Source organism: Homo sapiens, chromosome 1 (genome assembly GCF_000001405.40).
Source record: "Homo sapiens chromosome 1, GRCh38.p14 Primary Assembly".
Lineage (NCBI taxonomy): Eukaryota > Metazoa > Chordata > Mammalia > Primates > Hominidae > Homo > Homo sapiens.
Genome location: NC_000001.11, coordinates 246,706,855 through 246,725,615, shown reverse-complemented (window position 1 = coordinate 246,725,615; position 18,761 = coordinate 246,706,855). Strand labels below are relative to the sequence as shown.

At 43.9% G+C, this 18,761-nt stretch overlaps 1 protein-coding gene across 1 annotated transcript in view, besides 4 other annotated features; it reads right to left on the bottom strand.

Moving 5' to 3' along the window:
- The window catches only part of SCCPDH (saccharopine dehydrogenase (putative)), a 43,729-nt gene extending 42,522 nt beyond the window's left edge, over positions 1 to 1,207 (bottom strand). The window contains exon 1 of the mRNA NM_016002.3: positions 1,004 to 1,207. Within this exon, the coding sequence (NP_057086.2) occupies positions 1,004 to 1,193 (190 nt within the window). The 5' untranslated portion in view covers positions 1,194 to 1,207. The remainder of the gene's footprint in view (positions 1 to 1,003) is intronic.
- Positions 854 to 1,063: a silencer, noted in NCBI's record as "silent region_2037". NCBI's record gives its function as "represses an Ori minimal core promoter by ATAC-STARR-seq in GM12878 lymphoblastoid cells {active_cell/tissue: GM12878}" and the evidence as "EXISTENCE:reporter gene assay evidence [ECO:0000049][PMID:35858748]".
- Positions 1,164 to 1,233: a silencer, noted in NCBI's record as "silent region_2036". NCBI's record gives its function as "represses an Ori minimal core promoter by ATAC-STARR-seq in GM12878 lymphoblastoid cells {active_cell/tissue: GM12878}" and the evidence as "EXISTENCE:reporter gene assay evidence [ECO:0000049][PMID:35858748]".
- Positions 1,274 to 1,403: a silencer, noted in NCBI's record as "silent region_2035". NCBI's record gives its function as "represses an Ori minimal core promoter by ATAC-STARR-seq in GM12878 lymphoblastoid cells {active_cell/tissue: GM12878}" and the evidence as "EXISTENCE:reporter gene assay evidence [ECO:0000049][PMID:35858748]".
- Positions 1,614 to 1,773: an enhancer, noted in NCBI's record as "active region_2859". NCBI's record gives its function as "activates an Ori minimal core promoter by ATAC-STARR-seq in GM12878 lymphoblastoid cells {active_cell/tissue: GM12878}" and the evidence as "EXISTENCE:reporter gene assay evidence [ECO:0000049][PMID:35858748]".

Here is an 18,761-nt window from a genome sequence, read left to right as displayed (position 1 = left end):
TGGTGTCTTCTGTACATAACCACGAACAAAAGCACTCCGAGCAGGGCATTGTATGAAAGTAGATTAAACAGAAAGAATGTAGTATTTCCAGAACTCTAATGGGTGTCTGTATAAGGGAAATCTACGGGAGTTAATAGCCAAATTTAAAGGCTACGGAGTCGTAAGTCAGATGTCTCCCCAGCCATGAAGGCAGCAGGATCCGTGTGTCTGTCTCCTCTCTGTCCCATCCTGCACCCCAGACTCGGGACAGGTCTTAGCATGGACAACGTCACTCAATAAATATATGCTCCTTCAATGCTTAGAGAATCAATAAATATATGCTACCTGAATGCTTAGATTATCAATAAATATATGCTACCTGAATGCTTAGATTATCAATAAATACATGCTACCTGAATGCTTAGAGAATACGTAAGCGTCTAAACCAGAAATACACACTTTTTATTCTCTGAAGAGGAAGACTGCTGGAGTATTCTTACACACAAAACAAGAAACTAAAACAGAATAGCCACAAAGACACTGTCAGTACAACTCGTAAGCTTGCTCTCCCGTCCTCAAAACACGAGGCAAAGGGAGACTCCGATCTCCAAGAGACCAAAGCCCTCCTCTCCTCTCCGACCAAACATCTAGAAACCCGCAGATTCAACAGGTGCCCCCGCTGCGGGGCAGGATGAAGCAGAGAGAGGGACAACTCAAGTTCTTGACCATTTCGCCAGGGGAGCTCCCCAAACTGAGGCAGAAATGCAAAAAGCGGGAAAGAGGAGAAGGAAAGAAAAAAAAATGTGTGTGTATATTATACACGCACGCGCACACACACATATAGTTAAGGAGGTGGGACAAAGCTATGGCAGTATTTGAAACATCTCTCCCTCTCCTCTTCTTGTCCTCACGCAGGGCTCGGGGACACGTAGGGCGCATCCCTGCGGGAGAAACGCTCGTTTGGGGCGATGCGGGGTCCCCGGCCCAGCCGCCCGCGCAGCCCCGTCCCGCCCCGCCGCTGTACCCAGCTTCAGGGCCGCCTTCTCCAGCACCCGCTGCAGCTTCTCCCGGGAGCGGCCCGCCACGGCCCAGGGCAGGCGGGAGCTCCGCTCCGGGTCCACCTGCTCCCGGGCCACCTCCTCGGTCACGAACTGGCCGGTGAAGCCAGACGCGCCGAACACCACCAGGTGGAAAGGCCTCTGCTCGGTCGCCATGACGAGTCCACAGCGAGCCCAGGCCCCGGGGCGGGTGGAGTCCACGGCGCCTGCGCCTCAGGCAGCGACCCCAGTACCCGGCGCAGCAACGGCCGCCGTCGCCGCAGCCAGCGCGCCGGGCTCCCTTCACCCCGCGCGCGCCGCCGCGCCAGGGCCGCGCCCACGCCCACGCCGCCTCGCGCGGGAGCCGCGGGTGAGCGGCTTGCTTGGGAGGCTTCCGACGGGAGGTTTCCTAGGGCGGTGGCCCTGGGGGCGAGTCCGCTTCCAAGCCTGGCAGGCGCGGACGGCGGCCCCTAATTCCGTGCGGCGGTTTGTTCTGCAGGGCTCTGGCCGCCCCGGGCAGCGCATCTTCTAGCCCTGCTGGAAGCTGGAGGCGGCAGCCGGTTGTCCTTGTTGCACGTGGGGGTGGAGCAAAGAGTGCGAGAAAATCTGCGGATGGCCTCGGGGATGGCCCACCCCGAGAACCCTTGAGCTTGCTTGCTTTCTTCCTTTCTTTCTTCCCTTTTTTCCCTTTCTTTTCTCTTTTCTGTTTTTGAGATGGAGTCTCACTCTGTCGCCCAGGCTGCAGCGCAGTGGCGCGATCTCGATTTACTGCAACCTTCGCCTCCTGGGTTCAAGCGATTCTGCCTCAGCCTCCCGAGTAGCTGGGATTACAGGGGAGCGCCCCCACGCCCTGCTAATTTTTGTGTTTTTAGTAGAGATGGGTTTTCACCTTGTTGGCCAGGCTGGTCTCGAACTCCTGACCTCAGGTGATCCACCCACCTCGGCCTCCCAAAGGGTCGGGATTACACGCATGAGCCACTGCACCCAGCCCATTCCTGATTTTTAAAAACTCTCATTAAAATAGGAATAAATGAATGCTTTTAAAAATTTTGAAATATATGTCTTGCAAAAAAGGTACAGCCAATAACAAATATGTACCCTCAACACAGCTTAAGAAAAATATTCCAGATAGCGAGGCTTCCAGGTATTCATTCCTGAACACATTTCCTTTTGCGTCCCCAAGACGGCCACTTGCCTGAATTTAGTGTTTATTATTCCTATTCCTATCTTTCTGCTTGTTATATATGTATGTATTTATAAATATTATAGTACCGTTTTGCATATTTTGAATATTTTGTAAATGTCAATCCTGCAGCTTTCTTATTTGGTCATGATGTCGTGAACTTATTCCCAAATGATTCAGAATAAAAAAAAATGTCTGTGATACGTGTGTGGAGAGAGGGAGAGAGAGAGAAATACACCAAATTCTACAATGCTTTTGTACAATGTTGTATAGTGCTTTTGTGCAATATAATACAAAGAATGCTACAATAAAATTCTTGTACCTTTCTCCTAAAGCACCTGTGCGAAAGTGTATTGAATATGTGTCAGGAATGAAAATGGTTGGTGCTAGAATATCCATATTTGAGTTATCTCACTGCTCTTTAAAGCACATGCACTAATTTTCGCTCTCAGCGGGATACAAGAATCCTCTTGCTTTACGTGCTTGTCAGCACTTGGTATTCTCAGACTTCATGCTTGTCCATCTGGTGGGTGTAAAGTAGTAAGCATTCAAGTATTTATTAAACACTTAACTATATACTGGGCACTAGGAATAAAGTACTGGGGATATGGCAACAAATAAAGCCCCTGCCCTCAAGAAGTTTACATTCTAGTGGAGTAAACAGTCACTAAAAAATAATCTTACAGAGCCAGGTACAGTGGCATGCACTTTTAGTCCCAGCTACTTGGGAGGCTGAGGCAGGAGGATTGCTTGAACCTAGGAGTTGGAGGTTATAGTGAGCTACACTCCAGCCTGGGTGACAAAGTGAGATATTGTCTCTAAAAAGAAAATAAAAACAAAAGAAAACAAAAAACCCTAAAAAAACAGAATATATATATATATATATATATATATATATATATATATATATATATTTTGTTTTTTGGGAAGCATGCTTGCTATGGTTTGGATGTTTGGCCCCCCCAAATCACATGTTGAAATGTAATCCCCAGCATTGGAGGTGGGGCCTGGTGGGAGATGTTTGGGTCATGGGGGTGGATCCCTCATGAATGGCTTGGTGCCATCCCCAGGATAATGAGTATGTTCTCTCTGCATAAGTTCATACAAGAGCTGGTAGTTGAAAGAGCACTCATCCTTCTCTCTCTTGGTCTCTCTCTCACCATGTGATACATTGGCTCCATTTCACCTTCTGCCACGATTGGAAGCTTCCTGAGGCCTCACCAGAAGCAGATGCTGGCACTACACTTGATGTACTTCCTGCAGAACCATGAGCCAAAATATAAACTTTTTTCTTTATAAATTAACCAGCCTCAGGCATTCCTTTAAAGCAACGCAAAAATGGACTAACATAATGGTCATTGCAGCATTGCTTTGTAATAACAAAAAGTAGAAATAACTGAAATGTCCTTTATCAGAGGAATTATTAAATAAATTATGGTGTCCTATTCATTCAATAGGAACTGTGCAGCTATAAAGAATGAAGAATGACTATTCAGGTGGTTCTAGGTAAAAAACACACAACAACAACAAAAACAAAAGAATGAAGTAGGCTGGGCACAGTGGCTCACGCCTGTAATCCCAGCAGTTTGGGAAGCCAAGGCAGGAGGATCACTTGAGTCCAGAAGTTTGAGACCAGCCTAGGCAATGTAGCAAGACCCCATTTCTTAAAAAAAAAAAAAAAAAAAAAAAAAATTTTTTTTTTTAATTAGCTGGGTGTGGTGATGTGCATCTGTAGTCCTAGCTACCTGGGAGGCTGAGGTGGGAAGATTGCTTGAGCCCAGGAGTTCGAGGTTACAGTAAATCATGATCACACTACTGCACTGCAGCCTGGGCAACAGAGCAAGGCTATGTTTCTAAAAAAAAAAAAACAAAACAAAACTGTGTATAGTGACACGGAAAATCTTCCAAATTTCCTAACATTACAAGAGTATATTTAAGACAAAACAATGTATGTATATGCACACAAAATGTTAAGAATACATGATAAATCTTTTTTTTATTATACTTTAAGTTTTAGGGTACATGTGCACAACGTGCAGGTTAGTTACATATGTATACATGTGCCATGTTGGTGTGCTGCACCCATTAACTCATCATTTAACATTAGGTATATCTCCTAATGCTATCCCTCCCCCTTCCTCCCACCCCACAACAGGCCCCGGTGTATGATGTTCCCCTTCCTGTGTCCATGTGTTCTCATTGTTCAATTCCCACCTATGAGTGAGAACACGTGGTGTTTGGTTTTTTGTCCTTGTGATAGTTTGCTGAGAATGATGGTTTCCAGTTTCATCCGTGTCCCTACAAAGCACATGAACTCATCATCTTTTTATGGCTGCACAGTATTCCATGGTGTATATATGCCACATTTTCTTAATCCAGTCTAACATTGTTGGACATTTGGCTTGGTTCCAAGAATTGCTATTGTGAATAGTATTGGGGAACCTGCCCCGATATTCACGTAGGTTCTTTTCTATTTTCCCTAAGTGTCGGCCAGCTTGAGAAATAAAGGGACAGAGTACAAAAGAGAGAAATTTTAAAGCCAGGCGTCTGGGGGAGACATCACATGTCAGTAGGTTCTGTGATGCCCCACAAGCCGCAAAAACAAGCAAGTTTTTATTAGGGATTTTCAAAAGGGGAGGGAGTGTGTGAATAGGTGTGGGTCACAGACATCAAGTACTTTACAAGGTAATAGAACATCACAAGGCAAATGGAGGCAGGGCGAGATCACAGGACCACAGGACCGAGGCAAAATTAAAATTGCTAATGAAGTTTCGGGCACCACTGTCATTGATAACATCTTATCAGGAGACAGGGTTTTGAGATCAACTGGTCTGACCAAAATTTATTAGGCGGGAATTTCCTCTTCCTAATAAGCCTTGGAGCCCTATGGGAGACTAGGGTCTATTTCATCCCCTGCAGTCTCAACCATAAAAGACAGGTGCACCTGGGGGGGGGCTGTTTATAGGCCTATACCTCCAGGTGCGTATTCTCTTTCCCAGGGATGTTCCTTGCTGAGAAAAAGAATTCAGTGTTATTTCTCCCATTTGCTTTTGAAAGAAGAGAAATATGGCTCTGTTCTGCCCGGCTCACCGGCACTCAGAATTTAAGGTTATCTCTCTTATTCCCTGAACAATTGCTGTTATCCTGTTGTTTTTTCAAGGTGTCCACATTTCATATTGCTCAAACACACATGCTGTACAATTTGTGCAGTTAATGCAATTATTACAGGGTCCTGAGGTGACATACATCCTCCTCAGCTGACAGGATTAAGAGATTAAAGTAAAGACAGGCATAGGAAATCACAAGGGTATTGACTGGGGAAGTGATAAGTGTCCATGAAATCTTCACAACTTATGTTTAGAGATTGCAGTAAAGATAGGCATAAGAAATTATAAAAGTATTAATTCAGGGAACTAATAAATGTCCATGAAATCTTCACAATCCACGTTCTTCTGCCATGGCTTCAGCCAGTCCCTCCATTTAGGGTCCCTGACTTCCCGCAACAGAATAGTGCCACAATAAACATACGTGTGCATGTGTCTTTATAGCAGCATGATTTATAATCCTTTGGGTATATACCCAGTAATGGGATGGCTGGGTCAAATGGTATTTCTAGTTCTAGATCCCTGAGGAATGGCCACACTGACTTCCACAATGGTTGAACTAGTTTACAGTCCCACCAACAGTGTAAAAGTGTTCCTATTTCTCCACATCCTCTCCAGCACCTGTTGTTTCCTGACTTTTTAATGATTGCCATTCTAACTGGTGTGAGATGGTATCTCATTGTGGTTTTGATTTGCATTTCTCTGATGGCCAGTGATGATGAGCATTTTTTCATGTGTTTTTTGGCTGCATAAATGTCTTCTTTTGAGATGTGTCTGTTCATGTCCTTCGCCCACTTTTTGATAGGGTTGTTTGTTTTTTTCTTGTAAATTTGTTTGAGTTCATTGTAGATTCTGGTTATTAGCCCTTTGTCAGATGAGTAGGTTGCGAAAATTTTCTCCCATTTTGTAGGTTGCCTGTTCACTCTGATGGTAGTTTCTTTTGCTGTGCAGAAGCTCTTTAGTTTAATTAGATCCCATTTGTCAATTTTGTCTTTTGTTGCCATTGCTTTTCGTGTTTTGGACATGAAGTCCTTGCCCACGCCTATGTCCTGAATGGTATTGCCTAGGTTTTCTTCTAGGGTTTTTATGGCTTTAGGTCTAACATTTAAGTCTTTAATCCATCGTGAATTAATTTTTGTTTAAGGTGTAAGGAAGGGATCCAGTTTCAGCTTTCTACCTATGGCTAGCCAGTTTTCCCAGCACCATTTATTAAATAGGGAATCGTTTCCCCATTTCTTCTTTTTTTCAGGTTTGTCAAAGATCAGATAGTTGTAGATATGTGGCATTATTTCTGAGGGCTCTGTTCTGTTCCGTTGGTCTATATCTCTGTTTTGGTACCAGTACCATGCTGTTTTGGTTACTGTAGCTTTCTAGTATAGTTTGAAGTCAGGTAGCATGATGCCTCCAGCTTTGTTCTTTTGGCTTAGGATGGACTTGGCAATGCGGGCTCTTTTTTGGTTCCATATGAACTTTAAAGTAGTTTTTTCCAATTCTGTGAAGAAAGTCATTGGTAGCTTGATGGGGATAGCATTGAATCGGTAAATTACCTTGGGCAGTATGGCATTTTTCACGATATTGATTCTTCCTACCCATGAGCATGGAATGTTCTTCCATTTGTTTGTGTCCTCTTTTATTTCATTGAGCAGTGGTTTGTAGTCCTCCTTGAAGAGGTCCTTCATGTCCCTTGTAAGTTGGATTCCTAGGTATTTTATTCTCTTTGAAGCAATTGTGAATGGGAGTTCACTCATGATTTGGCTCTCTGTTTGTCTGTTATTGGTATATAGGAATGCTTGTGATTTTTGCACATTGATTTTGTATCCTGAGACTTTGCTGAAGTTGCTTATCAGCTTAAGGAGATTTGGGGCTGAGACGATGGGGTTTTCTAGATATATAATCATGTCATCTGCAAACAGGGACAATTTGACTTCCTCTTTTCCTAATTGAATACCCTTTATTTCCTTCTCCTGCCTGATTGCCCTGGCCAGAACTTCCAACACTATGTTGAATAGGAGTGGTGAGAGAGGGCATCCCTCTCTTTTGCCAGTTTTCAAAGGGAATGCTTCCAGTATTTGCCCATTCAGTATGATATTGGCTGTGGGTTTGTCATAGATAGCTCTTATTATTTTGAGATAAGTCCCATCAATACCTAATTTATTGAGAGTTTTTAGCATGCAGTGTTGTTGAATTTTGTCAAGGCCTTTTCTGCATCTATTGAGATAATCACATGGTTTTTGTCGTTGGTTCTGTTTATATGCTGGATTACGTTTATTGATTTGCATATGTTGAACCAGCCTTGCATCCCAGGGATGAAGCCCACTTGATCATGGTGGATAAGCTTTTTGATGTGCTGCTGGATTCAGTTTGCCAGTATTTTATTGAGGATATTTGCATTGATGTTCATCAGGGATATTGGTCTAAAATTCTCATTTTTTGTTGTATCTCTGCCAGGCTTTGGTATGAGGATGATGCTGGCCCCATAAAATGAGTTAGAGAGGATTCCCTCTTTTTCTATTGATTGGAATAGTTTCAGAAGGAATGGTACCAGCTCCTCCTTGTACCTCTGGTAGAATTTGGCTGTGAATCTGTCTGGTCCTGGACTTTTTTTGGTTGGTAAGCTATTAATTATTGCCTCAATTTCAGAGCCTGTTATTGGTCTATTCAGAGATTCAACTTCTTCCTAGTTTAGTCTTGGAAGAGTGTATGTGTCGAGGAATTTATCCATTTCTTCTAGATTTTCTAGTTTATTTGTGTAGAGGTGTTTATAGCATTCTCTGATGGTAGTTTGTATTTCTGTGGGATTGGTGGTGATATCCCCTTTATCATTTTTTATTGCGTCTATTTGATCCTTCTCTCTTTTCTTCTTTATTAATCTTGCTAGTGGTTTATCAATTTTGTTGATCTTTTCAAAAAACCAGCTCCTGGATTCATTGATTTTTTGAAGGGTTTTTTGTGTGTCTATTTCCTTCAGTTCTGCTCGATCTTAGTTATTTCTTGCCTTCTCCTAGCTTTTGAATGTGTTTGCTCTTACTTCTCTAGTTCCTTGAATTGTGATATTAGGGTGTCAATTTTAGATCTTTCCTGCTTTCTCTTGTGGGCATTTAGTGCTGTAAATTTCCCTCTACACACTGCTTTGAATGTGTCCCAGAGATTCTGGTATGTTGTGTCTTTGTTCTCGTTGGTTTCAAAGAACATCTTTATTTCTGCCTTCATTTCGTTATGTACCCAGTAGTCATTCAGGAGCAGGTTGTTCAGTTTCCATGTAGTTGAGTGGTTTTGAGTGAGTTTCTTAATCCTGAGTTCTAGTTTGATTGCACTGTGGTCTGAGAGACAGTTTGTTATAATTTCTGTTCTTTTACATTTGCTGAGGAGTGCTTTACTTCCAACTATGAGGTCAATTTTGGAATAAGTGCAGTGTGGTGCTGAGAAGAATGTATATTCTGTTGATTTGGGGTGGAGAGTTCTGTAGATGTCTATTAGGTCCGCTTGGTGCAGAGCTGAGTTCAATTCCTGGGTATCCTTGTGAACTTTCTGTCTCATTGATCTGTCTAATGTTGACAGTGGGGTGTTAAAATCTCCCATTATTATTGTGTGGGAGTCTAAGTCTCTTTGTAGGTCTCTAAGGACTTGCTTTATGAATCTGGGTGCTCCTGTATTGGGTGCATATATATTTAGGATAGTTAGCTCTTCTTGTTGCATTGATCCCTTTACCATTATGTAATGACCTTCTTTGTCTCTTTTGATCTTTGTTGGTTTAAAGTCTGTTTTATCAGAGACTAGGATTGCAACCCGTGCTTTTTTTTGTTTTCCATTTACTTGGTAGATCTTCCTCCATCCCTTTATTTTGAGCCTATGTGTGTCTCTGCATGTGAGATGGGTTTCCTGAATACGGCATACTGATGGGTCTTGACTCTTTATCCAATTTGCCAGTCTGTGTCTTTTAATTGGAGCATTTAGCCTGTTTACATTTAAGGTTAATATTGTTATGTGTGAATTTGATCCTGTCATTATGATGTTAGCTGGTTATTTTGTTCGTTAGTTGATGCAGTTTCTTCCTAGCCTTGATGGTCTTTACAATTTGGCATGGTTTTGCAGTGGCTGGTACTGGTTGTTCCTTTCCATGTTTAGTGCTTCCCTCAGGAGCTCTTGTAGGGCAGGCCTAGTGGTGACAAAATCTCTCAGCATTTGCTTGTCTGTAAAGGATTTTATTTCTCCTTCACTTATGAAGCTTAGTTTGGCTGGATATGAAATTCTGGGTTGAAAATTCTTTTCTTTAAGAATGTTGAATATTGGCCCCCCACTCTCTTCTGGCTTATAGAGTTTCTGCTGAGAGATCAGCTGTTAGTCTGATGGGCTTCCCTTTGTGGGTAACCCGAGCTTTCTCTCTGGCTGCCCTTAACATTTTTTCCTTCATTTCAACTTTGGTGAATCTGACAATTATGTGTCTTGGAGTTGCTCTTCTCGAGGAGTATCTTTGTGGTGTTCTCTGTATTTCCTGAATTTGGATGTTGGCCTGCCTTGCTAGATTGGGGAAGTTCTCCTGGATAATATCCTGCAGAGTGTTTTCCAACTTGGCTCAATTCTCCCTGTCACTTTCAGGTATATCAATCAGACATAGATTTGGTCTTTTCACATAGTCCCATATTTCTTGGAGGCTTTGTTCATTTCTTTTAATTCTTTTTTCTCTAAACTTCTCTTCTTGCTTCATTCCATTCATTTGATCTTCCATCACTGATACTCTTTCTTCCAGTTGATCAAATGAGCTACTGAGGCTTGTGGATTCGTCACATAGTTCTCATGCCTTGGTTTTCAGCTCCATCAGGTCCTCTAAGGACTTCTCTGCATTGCTTATTCTAGTTAGCCATTCATCTAATTTTTTTTCAAGGTTTCTAACTTCTTTGCCATGGGTTCGAACTTCCTCCTTTAGCTTGGAGTAGTTTGATCGTCTGAAGCCTTCTTCTCTCTATTTGTCAAAGTCATTCTCCATCCAGCTTTGTTCCATTGCTGGTGAGGAGCTGCACTCCTTTGGAGGAAGAGAGGTGCTCTGATTTTTAGAGTTTCCAGTTTTTCTGCTCTGTTTTTTCCCCATCTTTGTGGTTTTATCTACCTTTGGTCTTTGATGATGGTGACGTACAGATGGGGTTTTGGTGTGGATGTCCTTTCTGTTTGTTAGTTTTCCTTCTAACAGTCAGGACCCTCAGCTGCAGGTCTGTTGGAGTTTGCTGGAGGTCCACTCCAGACCCTGTTGGCCTGGGTATCAGCAGCGGAGGCTGCAGAACAGCGGATATTGGTGAGCAGCAAATGTTGCTGCCTGATCGTTCCTCTGGAAGTTTTGTCTCAGAGGAGTACCCGGCCGTGTGAGGTGTCAGTCTGCCCCTACTGGGGGGTGCCACCCAGTTAAGCTACTCGGGGGTCAGGGACCCACTTGAGGAGGCAGTGTGTCCATTCTCAGATCTCCAGCTGCGTGCTGGGAGAACCACTACTCTCTTCAAAGCTGTCAGACAGCGACATTTAAGTCTGCAGAGGATTCTGCTGCCTTTTGTTTGGCTATTCCCTGCCCTCAGAGGTGGGGTCTACAGAGGCAGGCAGGCCTCTGTAAGAAATATGGGACTATGTGAAAAGACCAAATCTATGTCTGATTGATATACCTGAAAGTGACAGGGAGAATTGAGCCAAGTTGGAAAACACTCTGCAGGATATTATCCAGGAGAACTTCCCCAATCTAGCAAGGCAGGCCAACATTCAAATTCAGGAAATATAGAGAACACCACAAAGATACTCCTCGAGAAGAGCAACTCCAAGACACATAATTGTCAGATTCGCCAAAGTTGAGCTGCGGTGGGCTCCACCCAGTTCGAGCTTCCCAGCCGCTTTGTTTACCTATTCAAGCCTTGGCAATGGCGGGCGCCACCCCCCAGCCTCGCTGCTGCTTTGCAGTTCGATCTCAGACTGCTGTGCTAGCAATGAGTAAGCATCCCTTTCTATATTGTTCAAACTTTTTAACAATAATTTATACAATAATTATTTTATAATTTATAATAGTAAGTTTTTTAAAGGAGCAAGGGCTGATTTTCAGAAGGGCCCGAGGGGCAACTGTGGGAATCACACCCCACCATCGGCAGTTCTGACACTGAGGCCATGTTCCTGTTGCTTCCAGGGAACTTAATTTTTTTGTCCATCATAACATACAACAATATGAATGAATCCCACAAACACTAATCCGAGCAGAAAGCCAAACAGAGAACATCTGTGTCATTCGTTTCCTCTAAAGCTCAAGAGCAGGAAAAACCAACTTACTGGGACAGGAATCTTGGAACAATTTGCTTTTGTGTAGAGCAGTCCCAGGTCTAGCCCTTCTTGAAGCAATTCTTCATCTAAAGGATTTCCAAGGAATTCATTCTCTCCAGGGGCCAGCAGACAGCTTGATTTCTGCACCAAAGTTAGTGCCAAGAAAAAGGGAAGACCCCCTTCTCCTCCAAAAGAAGACAAGGTTGGCTTATGGACAGGCTCTTAGCCACCACCTTCACAAAGTCAAAAGCTGGGTGTTCTGAAGCTCGAGGGTGAAGGGTAGGACTAGGGGCACGAGAAGATAGAAGAATGCCTGCAACATCAGTTGTAACTATTTCCTAGGTGACAAAGATCCTCTCCTCAACCAAACTCTAGCCAGGTGACAAAGATCCTCTCCTCGACCAAGCTCTAGCCAGGTGACAAAGATCCTCTCCTCGTCCAAGCTCTAGCCAGGTGACAAAGATCCTCTCCTGGACCAAGCTCTAGCCAAGTGACAAAGATCCTCTCCTCGCCCAAGCTCTAGCCAGGTGACAAAGATCCTCTCCTGGACCAAGCTCTAGCCAGGTGACAAAAATCCTCTCCTCGACCAAGCTCTAGCCAGGTGACAAAGATCCTCTCCTCGACCAAGCTCTAGCCAGCTGACAAAGATCCTCTCCTGGACCAAGCTCTAGCCAGGTGACAAAGATCCTCTCCTCGACCAAGCTCTAGCCAGGTGACAAAGATCCTCTCCTCGACCAAGCTCTAGCCAGGTGACAAAGATCCTCTCCTCGACCAAGCTCTAGCCAGGTGACAAAGATCCTCTCCTCGACCAAGCTCTAGCCAGGTGACAAAGATCCTCTCCTCAACCAAGCTCTAGGCAGGTGACAAAGATCCTCTCCTGGACCAAGCTCTAGCCAGGTGACAAAGATCTTCTTTGTCTGGAATTGGTTCCTTCTGGTGGGTTCTTGGTCTTGCTGACTTCAAGAATGAAGCCGCGGACACTTGCAGTGAGTGGTAAAGTTCTTAAAGATGGTCTGTCCAGAGTTTGTTCCTTCAGATGTTCAGATGTGTCCAGAGTTTCTTCCTTCTGGTGTGTTCGTGGTCTCACTGACTTCAGGAGTGAAGCCACAGACCTTCACAGTGAGTGTTACAGCTCTTAAAGGTGGTGCATCTGAAGTTGTTCTTTCCTCCTGGTGGGTTCGTGATCTCAGCTGGCTTCAGGAGTGAAGCTGCAGACCTTCACGGTGAGTGTTACAGCTCATAAAGGTAGTGTGGACCCAAAGATTGAGCAGCAGCAAGATTTATTGCGAAGAGCAAAAGAATGGCAGGGTGCCCGAGGGGGTTGCCCCTGCTGGCTAGGGTGGCCAGCTTTTATTTCTTTCTTTTGCTCCACCCACATCCTGCTGATTGGTCCATTTTACAGAGTGCTGATTGGTCCATTTTACAGTGCTGATTGGTCCATTTTTACAGAGTGCTGATTGGTGCGTTTACAAACATTTCGCTAGACACAGAGTGCTGATTGGTGCATTTTTACAGAGTGCTGATTGGTGTGTTTAGAAACCTTTAGCTAGACACAGAGCACTGATTGGTGCATTTACAATCCTTTAGCTAGACAGAAAAGTTCTCCAAGTCCCCACCCAATTAGCTAGACACAGAGTGCTGATTGGGGTGTTTACAAACCTTTAGCTAGACACAGAACACTGATTAGTGCATTTACAATCCTTTAGCTAGACAGAAAATTTCTCCAAGTCCCCACCCGACCCAGAAGCCCAGCCAGCTTCACCTCTCACTCTCCTTGACCAAGCTCTAGCCAGGTGACAAAGATCCTCTCCTTGACCAAACTCTAGACAGGTGACAAAGATCCTCTCCTCTACCAAACTCTAGCCAGGTGACAAAGATCCTTTCCTTGACCAAACTCTAGCCAGGTGACAAAGATCCTCTCCTCGACCAAACTCTAGACAGGTGACAAAGATCCTCTCCTCGACCAAACTCTAGCCAGGTGACAAAGATCCTCTCATTGACCAAACTCTAGCCAGGTGACAAAGATCCTCTCATTGACCAAACTCTAGTGAGGTGACAAAGATCCTTTCCTCTACCAAACTCTAGCCAGGTGACAAAGATCCTCTCATTGACCAAACTCTAGCCAGGTGACAAAGATCCTCTCCATGACCAAACTCTAGCCAGGTGACAAAGATCATCTCCATGACCAAACTCTAGTCAGGCTCCTCTGAGCCTGGTTATGCACGAGTCTCATCCTTGGCCTGTAAAGACTTGAACAAACAGTAACACAGTTTCTAACAGCTCAACTCCCCTCCCCCAGCATGATCCTACCCACACTCTTCACGTAGCTGCCTGAGAGAAAGCTCAAGGCTGCCCCAATAATTTGTTGCTTGTTCTAGCCAGCACCTGAAGACAGGGCCCCTGTCGCCCAGCCTCCTTGGGGGGCTAGGTGCCTAGCTTCCAAAAGCACCAGTTGGTTAGCAAACCCAGAGAAGTTTCACGTTGATCAAGTCCCCCAGTATAGTTTGAATGCCTGTCCCCTCCAAATCTCATGTTGAAATGTGATCCCCAGTGTTGGAGGTGGGGCCTAGTGGGAGGTGGTTGTGTGTCCGGAATTGGTTCCTTCCAGTGGGTTCTTGGTCTTGCTGACTTCAAGAATGAAGCCACGGACCCTTGCAGTGAGTGTTACAGTTCTTAAGGATGATGTGTCCAGAGTTTCTTCCTTCAGATGTTCAGATGTGTCCAGAATTTCTTCCTTCTGGTGGGTTCATGGTCTTGCTGACTTCAGGAGTGAAGTCACAGACCTTTGCAGTGAGTGTTACAGCTCTTAAAGATGGCGTGTCCAGAATTGTTTGTTCCTTCCGGTAGGCTCGTGGTCTTGCGGACTTCAGCAGTGAAGCTGCAGACCTTCACGGTGAGTGTTACAGCTCATAAAGGTGGTGCGTCCAGAGTTGTTTGTTCCTCCCAGTGGGTCTGTGGTCTCACTGACTTCAGGAGTGAAGCTGCAGACCTTCACAGTGAGTGTTACAGCTCATAAAGGTAGTGCAGACCCAAAGAGTGAGCAGCAGCAAGATTTATTGTGAAGAGCAAAAGAACAAAGCTTCCACACCATGGAAGGGGACCCGAGTGGGTTGCCTCTGCTGGGTTGGGTGGCCAGCTTTTATTCCCTTATTTGGCCTTGCCCACATCCTGCTGATTGGTCCATTTTACAGAGTGCCAATTGGTCCATTTTACAGAGTGCTGATTGGTCCATTTTTACAGAGTGCTGATTGGTGCGTTTACAAACCTTTAGCTAGACACAGAGCGCTGATTGGTGAGTTTTTACAGAGTGCTGATTGGTGTGTTTATAAACCTTTAGCTAGACACAGAGCACTGATTGGTGCGTTTACAATCCTTTAGCTAGACAGAAAAGTTCTCCAGGTCCCCGCCTGACACAGAAGCCCAGCTGGCTTCACCTCTCAGTTGGGTCATGGAAGTGGATCCTTCACGAATGGCCTGGTGACATCCCCATAGTAATAAGTGAGCTCTCACTCTATTAGTTCATGTGGGAGCTACTTGTTTAAGACAGCCAAGTATTGCCTCCTCTCTCTCTTGCCCCCACTCTCACCATGTGATGTGCCTGCTCCCTCTTTGCCTTCCACCATGATGGTAAGCTTCCCGCCATGTGACATGCCTGCCCCCTCTTCACCTTCTACCATGAGGGTAAACTTCCCGAGGTCCTCATCAACCATGAGTCAAATAAACCTCTTTTCTTGATAAATTACCTGGTCTCAGGTATTCCTTTATAGCAACACAGAATGGACTAATTTACCACCCCCCTTCTACTTTTTGTAATTTTTCATTTCCCTGACTCTCCTGAGCCCTCACTTACCCTTCCCTCTTCCCTCATCCTCCCTTTAAAATGCCTAGTCACCTCTGACTGGGTTCAGAAGTTGAGTTCAGCTCATGCTAGACTCGTTTTCACTTTGCAATAGTATATTACTGATTAAAATCTGTCCTTCCACCTTGTTTATCTTTGACATAGGAAATCAGAAAGAGACAAATAAAGGAACGCCCAGGTAGTCCAAAAGTCCATTTGAAGCTGAAAGTGAGAAGGAAGCTGAACTTGCCACACTTAGGAAGTGGTATGGCAGCTGTGGCTAAATGTGAAGGGAAGAAGTCATGGGGAGTCATCTATGAAAAATCATGGTTTTTTTTTTTTTTTGCAACTTTTGATTACCTGAATTATTTGCTGATCTCTAGTAGATAAGAGAAAGAAACAAAAAGCAAGGAAAGTAGCTAATCCAATTCAGAAATTCCATCATGTACTGCCACATTTTATTTTATTATTACCATTATTTTTTGAGACAGAGTCTCACTCTGTCACCCAAGCTGGAGTGCAGTGGCACTGTCACAGCTCACTGCAGCCTCAACATCAGGGCTCAAGTGATCCTCCACCTCTGCCTCCCGAGTAGCTGAAACCTCAGGTGCACACCATCATGCCTGGTTAAATTTCAAATTATTTGTAGAGACGAGGCCTCACTATGTTGCCCAGGCTGGTCTCGACCTCTTGGCCCCAAATGATATGCCTACCTCAGCCTCCCAAACTGCTGGGATTACAGGTGTGAGCCACCATGCTTGGCCAGCTGCCCCATTTTAGAACATGTTTTTGTCTCAGCATACTGAAAGTTGCACAATAGTACAACACAGGCCTACCTCCCAATACCTGGTCCTTCTACCAAGCTCTGCGCATCATGCTGGAATGGCACAGCGAAAAGGAGTTAGTCCAGGCTGACCTTTTAGGTATGCAGCAGAAACTAAGTGCTTTTATTGTCAATTAAGCAGCTACTTCTATTTTTTTCCTTTTTTTCCCTTCTAGGTATCATTTTTTCCTTTTTTCTACTATTAAACTAAAAATCTATTTGTCATTAAAAGTTCTTTGTGCAAATCCTCAGAAGCCTAGGGCTTTATTATTTTTAATGTTTTTATTTTTAATAAGGGAGGCATCCAATGGTGAAGTAAAAATCACTCATACCACCTTTATGAAAGCCAACTGTTAAATTTTCAGCACCGTTGGAAATCAGACATGGTTTACAGCCATGGCTGGATTTACACCAGGGGCTCTGACACACTCTACAAATCATGTTTATCCCCCCAGAGAGTGGATTGTTAAATACTTATCAGCAAACTACAGGAAGGAAGGAAGGAAGGAAGGAGAGAAGGAGGGAAGCAGGGAAGGAGGGAGGGAGGGAGGAGGAAAGAGAGAAATCAAGGACTTTGTGGAAACCAGAAGCTTGCAAAAATCTCTTTTATTTTTTATTTTTATTTTTTGGGATGGAGTCTCGCTCTGGTGCCCAGGCTGGAGTGCAGTAGTGCAATCTCAGCTCACTGCAACCTCTGCCTCCCAGGTTCAAGCAATTCTCATGTCTTGGCCTCCCAAGTAGCTGGGATTACAGGTGCACACCACGACGCACGGCTAAGTTTTGTATTTTTAGTAGAGATGGGGTTTCACCACGTTGGCCAGGCTGGTCTCGAATGCCTGACCTCAAGTGATCCGCCCGCCTCGGCCTCTCAAAGTGCTGGGATTTCAGGCTTGAGTCACCGCTCCCTCCCAAAAATCTCTAAAAAATTAAAAATTGATTTAATAGAGTAGGGAATCTATCTTCCTGATTCCCCCCATCAATGATTCATTTTGGTACAGCCAAGTTACTCAACTCTGGTTTCTTGGCTTCCTTGTGGGTAAAAAGATAATAAGGCCTGATAACAAGAGTCTGTTTTATAAAAATCTAGCAAAGCACACATATATTTAAGCAGTAATAATATTCACTTGTGAAATTAGTGTACATCATGATATAAGTGGTATAATTTGGTCAAGCAATACCATCTTCAAATAATGACCTGAAGAATCATGATCATCTTTCCCAATTTAGCTCTTTCTAAATTTTAAAAAAATGTAAGGACAGGATCCTATGAAGCAAAATTTAATTTAATCTTCCAATATGCACAAAAATTTACCAGAAATTTCTCAAAAGACTGTCTTCACCAAACAATGTGAACCTTCCTGCCAATGCCCAAGGGAGGCCAGCACCCATCCACAGAGTATTGTATTGATGTTTTTATGCTGCTGTGTTTAATTTTCAACGAGCATGATAGTTTTGAAACACACACACACAAATTAACCTTGTGTGACACTCAGTGCCTACTATGTTAGGAAGCAAATTCATTTTAGACACTGCTATTTTGGCCAGAGGTAGAGGATTCATTTTATTAAGCTATAGTGAAAGCAAGCTCTTCAATCAACCTTTGGGCCTGTGTTACAAAGACCAAATTTTGAAACACTTGCCTATGAGGAAACTCGAAACCACATCACACTATCAGTTTCCTGGTAGGATGGGCAGTCAGACACAATATTCATTGTGCATTTCCAATGGACTCACAGTAATCCCAGCTACTTGGGAGGCTGAGGCAGGAGAATCGCTTGAACCCGGGAGGTGGAGGTTGCAGTGAGCCAAGATCACACCGCTGCACTCCAGCCTGGGTGACAGAGCGAGATTGCATCTCCAAAAAAAAAAAAAAAAGAAAGAAAGAAAAGAAAATCTCCTTTAAAAAATGTTATTTAATTTTAAAACATCTTATTCATACATTCATTCATTTCTCCACTCATTTCTTAAATAAACATCTCAAGCCTGAAGTAGGCCCTGGTATTGCAAAGATGAACAAGATAGTTCCTGATCACGTGGATTTTTAGCATGGCGGAGGAAACAGTAATAGTAAAACTTCTAATTATCAAAAGACTTATGCCCACAATCCCACCAAAGATTTACAATTATTTTTGGGTCTTTCTGATCTTTATTCACACGTGCTCATCGTTTATACATGTTTAAAAGTATAATGTGAATACAATTTGGTGTTCTACCTTTTATTCTTAGCTTTTTCAATCTTTTTTTGGGTGGAGGGAGAAAGGCTGGAGAAGTGGAAGGTTAAAGCCCTGGAATGAAATCCTCCCTGACCTTCCCCATTCCTGTACATTCTGCACTGCAGCCAGGGGCAGGAGGACTGGTATCTACCAAATCCCTGAGGGCAATCTGCACCTTTGCAAGCCTCTGCTAGGTGACTTTTTTTTTTCTATTTCTATTTCTTTCCCTTTTTTTTCCTGTGTGTGTGTGTGTGTGTGTGTGTGTGTGTGTGTGTGTGTCTCCTTCAATTTTTTTCATC